Consider the following 8,323-nt stretch of genomic DNA (forward strand, 5'->3'; position numbering starts at 1 on the left):
TGCCTCTTCTCCCACTTATTAACACCCTGATGATGAAATCCGATCCACCAGATAATCCAGAATAATCTTCCCACCTCAAGATCCTTGACCTAATACTATCTGCAAAGTCCCTTTTGCCATGTAAAGTAACATATTCACAGGTTCCAGGGATGAGGATGAGGACATCTTTGGGGGCCCATTCTGCTTATCACAGTACCCTTGGGTCTTAAGGATATAAGGATGGTAGGCCAGGCATGGTGGCTCATGCCTGTAATCCCAGCACTTTGGGAGGCCGAGGCGGGCAGATCACCTTGACCAACATGGTGTAACCCCACCTCTACTAAAAATACAGAAATTAGCCAGGCGTGGTGGCACGTGCCTGTAATCCTAGCTACTTGGGAGGCTGAGGCAGGAGAATAGCTTGAACCCAGGAGGTGGAGGTTGTAGTGAGCTGAGATAGCGCTACTGCACTCCAACCTGGACGATAGAGCGAGACTACATTTCACACACACACACACACACACACACACACACACACACACACGCTACTGCACTCCAACCTGGACGATAGAGCGAGACTACATTTCACACACACACACACACACACACACACACACACACACACACACACACAAAAGGATACAGGGATGGAAGAACAGGAACAGTATTCCTGGAATCTGGAAAGACCTGGAGCCATGGAGAAGGACTCCCCTGCTGGAGCTGCAGCCCCAGAAGGGCTGAGTGAGGAAGGGCCAAATGCACTGAACTCTCTCTCCTGCCTCCCTTTGATCTCCAGGGCTGCCTCTCATTGTTCCAGCCTATCTGCAGGCCAGGTGGCCAAGCTGTGCAGGTGCTGCAGCCTGCAGGGCTTAGCGTCCCCGGCCCAGAGCAGGGCAAATAATGGATCTGGGGTGGAGATGGGGGGCAAATGGAGAGTAACACTTAAGGTGTGGCCTGTGCATCAGCAGCCTCAGCCTGGTCTGTAACTGTTGGAAATGCAGAGTCTCGGATCCCACCCAAGCCCCACTGGATCAGAATCTGCATTTTATCCACGAGATCTCTAGGGGATTCATAGGTGCATTTGCAGTTTGAGACAAGCTGCACTGGAGGACTATTGATTTATTCTTAGAGACGGGACCTTGCTCTGTCTCCCAGACTGGAGTGCAGCAGTGTAATCATAGCTCACTACAGCCTCGAACTCCTGGCTCAGGCTATCCCCCTGCCTCAGCCTCCCAAGTAGCTGGGACCACAGGTGCACATCACCACATCCAGCTAATTAAAAAAAAAAATTTTTTTTTAAATAGAGACATGATTTCACTATGTTGCCCACATTGGTCTTGAACTCATGGACTCAAGCGATCCTCCCACTTTGGTCTCCCAAAGTGCTGGGATTACAGATATGAGCCACCATGCGCCGCTGCACTGGAGGATTTCCACGTGGAGATAAAGGCTGTTGGAAATTATGCCCATGCTTGGGTCAGCTCATCTCTTGAGAATCATTTGATATCACAAGAGAAGCCACGAAGTCTAGGCTATGGAGTAAGAAGAAATCCAAAGACTAGATTTCAAAGAACAAGACAAGCATTATCACAAAATGTCTTGAAAATAGCTTCAGATATTCTTAGACATTACACCTACCAAAACTGAATTTGTGAAATCCTAAGCATATGTTACATCCATCTAACCATAGGAAGAGAAGAGAAAAAAAAAATGTAAAGGAAGCAAACTCTAAAATTAAAATCTGTTCAGGAGGTGACGGATGTCTGGGTCTTGACGGATTTCTAGACTTGTAAAAAGTAGTTGTTTTTTTCATCTTCATTCATCCATGTTTGATTGTTGCTTTCTCAGGACCATTATTTTTTTTTTCTCATAGGAAAATTAATTTCTTTCTTTCTAAAGTGTTGATTCTCCCGTGTTGCTTTGTATGAAGGCTTTAGAAAATGTCTAACAATGGTTTGAGTGATAGACGGAAAAAACTCCAGTGCCTCAGCTACACAAAAGACTCTCTAGCGAGGTCCTATTGTGCATTGATTTACTGTGTTGAATAACTTTTCCACATTCGAAAATGCATTAAAGCTCTTATTTAGGACCATCTAATTCCTGTCTTTAGAGTTAACAATCAACCATCAGGTTTCTGCTTAGGGTAAGTTAAAACAGGCGTTTTGGTTGAGGACGATAAATACCTCTGCGTTTTAGGCTGCAGGTGCAGATGGAGCATTCTGTTCTAGGCATGTTGATTTAGGAGGAAAATCGGAGTTTTGGAACTTTACAGGCTTGGGTTACTTTCCTGGTTTTGCCATTTACTAGCTGTGCGACCTTGGGCTTGTCAGTAAAGGCCTTCGGTCTGCCCATCCTCTTTAGAAAAATGGAGCTACTTTTCCTACTTTGTTGGGAAGGGTTGTTGAGAAGTTTAATATTAATGGATGGCCTGGCACATAGTGGGTGCTCAGTAAACAGCTGTGTTTTTCCTATGGGGCTAGGGAATGTCTTTCAGGCTTTTGACATAGCCTGTTGCTGGGGTCGTATTGTGTCCGGAATTGGTGGGTTCTTGTTCTCACTGACTTCAAGAATGAAGCTGCGGACCCTCGCGATGAGTGTTACAGTTCTTAAAGGCGGCGTGTCCGGAGTTTGTTCCTTCTGACGTTCGGATGTGTTCAGTTTCTTCCTTCTGGTGGGTTCGTGGTCTCACTGGCTCAGGAGTGAAGCTGCAGACTTTCACGGTGAATGTTACAGCTCTTAAGGCCGCGCGTCTGGAGTTGTTCCTTCCTCCCGGTGGGCTGGTGGGCTCGTGGTCTCGCTGGCTTCAGAAGTGAAGCTGCAGACCTTCGCGGTGAGTGTTTCAGCTCATAAAGGCAGTGTGGACCCAAAGAGTGAGCAGTAGCAAGATTTATTGCAAAGAGCAAAAGAACAAAGCTTCCACAGTGTGGAAGAGGACCCCAGTGGGTTGCCACTGCTGGCTCGGGCAGCCTGCTTTTATTCTCTTATCTGGCCCCACCCACATCCTGCTGATTGGTAGAGCGGAGTGGTCTGTTTTGCCAGGGCACTGATTGGTGCGTTTACAATCCCTGAGCTAGACACAAAGGTTCTCCAAGTCCCCCCCAGATTAGCTAGATACAGAGTGTGGACACAAAGGTTCTCCAAGTCCCCACCAGAGTAGCTAGATACAGAGTGTCGATTGGTGCATTCACAAACCCAGAGCTAGACACAGGGTGCTGATTGGTGTGTTTACAAACCTTGAGCTAGATACAGAGTGCCAGTTGGTGTATTTATAATCCCTGAGTTAGACACAAAGGTTCTCCACGTCCCCACCAGACTCAGGAGCCCAGCTGGCTTCACCCAGTAGATCCTGCACCAGGGCTGCAGGTGGAGCTGCCTGCCAGTCCCATGCAGTGCGACTGCACTCCTCAGCCCTTGGGTGGTCGATGGGACTGGGCACCCTGGAGCAGAGGGCGGTGCTCGTAGGCGAGGCTCTGGCCGCACAGGAGCCTATGGAGGTGGGGGGAGGCTCAGGCATGGCGGGCTGCAGGTCCCAAGCCCTGCTCCACGGGAAGGCAGCTAAGGCCCTGCGAGAAATTGAGCACAGCAGCTGCTGGCCCAGGTGCTAAGCCCCTCACTGCCCGGGGCCGGTGGGGCCGGCCTGCCGCTCCAAGTGTGGGGTCCGCTGAGCCCACGCCCACCAGGAACTCGCGCTGGCCCGCAAGCACCGCGCACAGCCCCGGTTCCTGCCCGCGCCTCTCCCTCCACACCTCCCCGCAAGCTGAGGGAGCCGGCTCCGGCCTTGGCCAGCCCAGAAAGGGGCTCCCACAGTGCAGTGGCGGGCTGAAGGGCTCCTCAAGTGCCGCCAAAATGGGAGCCCAGGCAGAGGAGGCGCCTAGAGCGAGCGAGGGCTGTTAAGGGCTGCCAGCATGCTGTCACCTCTCAGTATGAATTTACCAGTTGGTAACGCATAGCAGGGAGAATCAGTGCACAATATTCACAGATTGCATTAGGGTTTAGATAGCTCTTCCAAGAGGTAATTGTTAAGCAAAAACCTTTTACTTTTATTGCAGTCTATTATTAGTATTGGAAGTCCTCAGTTAGATTTTCTCCCTGGTATGGAATGAAAACTTAATTCAAACACACACAGGAGAGGCAAACATGTTATTATTTGCTAATGGCTTTTAATCTTGGGAAGAGAGATAGATTGATTATCACCTCTGCCTTGGATAATTGGGGGAAGTGCTTCCATTTTGGAGAGGGTGATTTTTAAAGAGTTGAGAGTGGGGGAAGGCTGAGAGTCAAGAGCTGGTTAGGAGTCGTGCCTGTGTGATTTTGGTAACTTAAGCTTCTAGAGCCTCAGTTTCCTCACTGAAGAATGTGGCTGACAATTGTACCGTACTGCCCATGCCACTGTGAGGATTAAATGAGCTAATAGACATCATGGGAACAATTGTTGGTTTTTTTTTTTTTTTTTTTTGAGACTGAGATTAGCTCTGTCGCCTAGGCTGGACTGCAGTGGCACGATCTCAGCTCACTGCAACCTCTGCCTCCCGGGTTCAAGTGATTCTCGTGCCTCAGCCTCCCAAGTAGCTGGGATTACAGGCACCTGCCACCACGTTTGGCTAATTTTTGTATTTTTAGTAGAGACAGGGTTTCACCATGTTGTCCAGGCTGGTCTCAAACTCCTGACCTCAGGTGATCTGCCCTTCTTGGCCTCCCAAAGTATTGAGATTATAGGCATGAGCCACCACGCATGGCCTGTTTTTGAGGCAGGGTCTCGCTCTGTTGCTTAGGCTGGAGTACAGTGGTGGGATCTTAGCTTACTGCAATCTCCGCCTCCTGGGCTCAAGCCATCCTCCTGTCTCAGCCTCCTGAGTAGCTGGAACTACAGGCACACACCACCACGCTCGGCTAATTTTTGAATTTTTTGTAGAGATGAGGGTCTTGCTATGTTGCCCAGGCTTGTTTTGAACTCCTGAGCTCAAGCGATCCACCTGCCTTGGCCTCCCAGAGTGCTGGGATTACAGGCGTCAGCCACCGCACTGGCGAGAATGATTGTTTATTTGTAGTATCCCACAACAGAAGTACCACCCCCTGCAAATGTTCCTTTAAAGAAAAATGGTTATGGTGTCAGTTGTGCTATTTTCCATACACTGAAGTCTGATGCATCAGTGGAAAGGAGTGGATCACATCAACACAGATAAATCATACGAAGGGTTGAGGGAGACAAGCCAATCATAGAATCATATGAACAGAACGAGACCATTTATTTTGCATGTTCAGCAACATGCAAAAGCAAATAATACAATGTTTGCAGAAGAAAAATTACAACTGGGCATGGTGGCTCACGCCTGTAATCCCAGCACTTTGGGTGGCTGAGGCAGGTGGATCACTTGAAATCAGGAGATCGAGACCAGCCTGGCCAACATGGTGAAACCACATCTCTACTAAAAATACAAAAATTAGCCAGGCGTGGTAGCGGGCGCCTGTAGTCCCAGCTACTCGGGAGGCTGAGGCACAAGAATCACTTGAACCCAGGAGGTGGAGGTTGCAGTGAGCCCAGATGGTGCCATTGTACTCCAGCCTCAGCAACAGAGCAAGACTCCGTCTCAAACAATCAAACAAACAAACAACTGTGTATGGATCTCAAAGTTTTTTTGCACCAAAATAAACTCATACTAACTTGTTACAACACGTCTGAACAGGATCTAGTTTGAGGCACTAAGAAGGATAAGACATCTGTTTGAAAAGAACCCCTGTCAGAGCAACATGAATTCTCCTAAAACTGAAGTAAGAACAAACATCAAGTTTATGGTGAAGCTCGGGTGGAAGGATGGTGAAATCACTAATGCCTTATGAAAAGTTTGTGGGGAAAATGTGGTAGATAAATCAGCAGTTTACAAATGGATATCTCATTTTAAGAAGGGACAAGACAATATTGACTTGCCAGGCATGGTGGCACACGCCCGACATTCCAGCTACTGTGGAGGCTGAGGTGGGAGAATTGCTTGAGCCCAGGAGGTGGAGGCTGCACTGAGTCAAGATTGCACCACTGCACTCCAGCCTGGGTGACAGAGTGAGACTCCATCTCAAAAAAGAAAAAAAAGACAATGTCGAAAATGAGGTGCACAGTGGCAGATCATCCACATCAATTTTCGAGGAGAAAATTATCTTATTTGTGCCCTAACTGAAGAGGACTGATGATTAACAGCAGAAACAATAGCCAGCACCATAGACATCTCCATTGGTTCTGCTTACACCATTCTGAGTGAAAAATTAAAGTTGAGCAATGCCACTCATGAGTGTAAAATTATTACACCCAGATCAGCTGCAGACAAAAGCAGAGTTTTCAATGGAAATTTAAACAAATGAGATCAAGATCCTGAACATTTATTTGAAGAATTGTAACAGGAGATGAAACATTTACCATTATGATCCTGAAAACTAAGCCCAAGCGAAGCCATGGATACTAAGAGGTAGAAGTAGTCCAGTCAAAGCAAAAGCAGACCGGTCAAGAGCAAGGTCATGGCAACAGTTTTCGGGGATGCTCCAGGCATTTTGCTTGTTGACTTTCTGGAGGGCCAAAGAATGATAACATCTGCTGATTATGAGAGTGTTTTGAGAGAGCTAGCTAAAGCTTTAACCAGAAAAACACCTGGGAAACCTTCACCAGAAAGTCCTCCTCCACTATGACAACACTACTGCTCATTCCTCTCATCAAACAAGGACGATTTTGTAAGAGTTTTTATGGGAAATTATTAGGCATCCACTTTACAGTTCTGATTCTGCACCTTCTGACTTCTTTTTGTTTCTTAATCTTAAAAAAATCTTCAAAGGGCCCATTTTTCTACTGTTAATAATGTAAAAAAGACTGCATTGACAGGGTTCAATTCCCAGGACCCTCAGTTCTTCAGGGTTGGACTAAATGGCTGGTATCATGACTTACAAAAGTGTCATGATCTTTGCTGGGCACAGTGGTTCATGCCTATAAGTGAGAGGATTGCTTGAACCTAGGAGATTGAGGCTGCAGTGAGCCATGATCATGGCACTGCACTCCAGCCTGGGTGACAGAGCAACACCCTGTGTCAAAAAAAAAAAAAAAAAAAAAAGTCATGATCTTGATGGAGCTTATGTTGAGAAATAAAATTTATATTTTATATTTTTATCTTTTACTTCAATATCTATGAACTTTTTGAAGTCCCCTTGTATATACAGGCACTGTGCTAAGGTGCCTGACATGGATTCTCTTATTAAATCCACAAAACAACCATACTGGGTAGGTGCTATGGTTATCTTCATTTTACAGATGTGTAAACTGAGGCCTGATATCATTTGGCTCTGTGTCCCACCCAAATCTCATAATCTAAAACTGTAATCCCCATGTGTCAGAGGAGGGGCCTGGCAGGAGCTGATTGGATCATCGGGGTGGATTTCCCCCTTGCTGTTCTTGTGATAGTGAGTTCTCATGAGATCTTACGGTTTAAAAGTGTGGCAGTCCCCCTTCACTGTCTCGCCTGCCGCCATTTAAGATGTGCCTTGCTTCTCCTTCACTTTGTGCCATAATTGTAAGTTTCCTGAGGCCTCCCCACCCATGTGAGTCAATTAAACTTCTATCACCCACTCTAAGCTATGTCTTTATAGCAGTGTGAGAACGGACTAACCCAAGGCTGTTAGCTGCCATCTGTTAATTGAGCATTTATTAAGTGCTATGTACCATCTTACTGAAGTAAGATGCATGATCTTACTTCACTTCCAGAAACCTTAGGAACTATACTGAAAACACAACTTTAGACCAGGGTTGGCAAACTTTTCCTATAAAGGTCCAGATAGTAAATATTTGATGCTTTTGTGAGCCGTACGATGATCTCTGTCGAGACTGTTCAACTCTGTTGCTGTGGTGCAAAAGCAGCCAGAGATGATTCATAAATGGATGAGCATGACTGTGTTCCAATAAAACTTTATTGAGGAACATTGATGTTTAAATTTTATTTCATTTTCACTTGAAAACGATCACAAAATATCATTTTTCCTTCCTTTTTTGTTTTTTTTTTTGAGACAGAGTTTCACTCTGTCACCCAGGCTGGAGTGCAGTGGGAGGATCACAGCCCACTCAAAGGGATCCTCCCACCCTAACTTCCTAAGTAGCTGGGACTACAGGCATGCACCACCATGCCCAGCTAATTTTTCTTTTAATTTTTTCCAACTATTTAAAAATGTAAAATTGTTCCTAATTCACAAGTCATATGAAAACAAGCAGTGGGGCTGGAACTGGCTTGTGGGCCGGGCTGTGGTTTGCCAAGCCTGGCTTTAGGCCATCAGTTCCCTGAGGGCTGGAAACTTGCTGACCCTGCTCAGTGTGGTATGC

At 46.5% G+C, this 8,323-nt stretch overlaps 1 annotated feature.

Annotated features, from left to right (window-relative positions):
- Window positions 325-825: an enhancer, noted in NCBI's record as "H3K4me1 hESC enhancer chr12:112954684-112955184 (GRCh37/hg19 assembly coordinates)". NCBI's record gives its function as "activates a minimal SCP1, AML or CMV promoter by ChIP-STARR-seq in naive H9 embryonic stem cells {active_cell/tissue: H9 hESC(naive)}" and the evidence as "EXISTENCE:reporter gene assay evidence [ECO:0000049][PMID:30033119]".

This window comes from Homo sapiens, chromosome 12, assembly GCF_000001405.40.
Source record: "Homo sapiens chromosome 12, GRCh38.p14 Primary Assembly".
NCBI classification, from domain to species: Eukaryota; Metazoa; Chordata; class Mammalia; order Primates; family Hominidae; genus Homo; species Homo sapiens.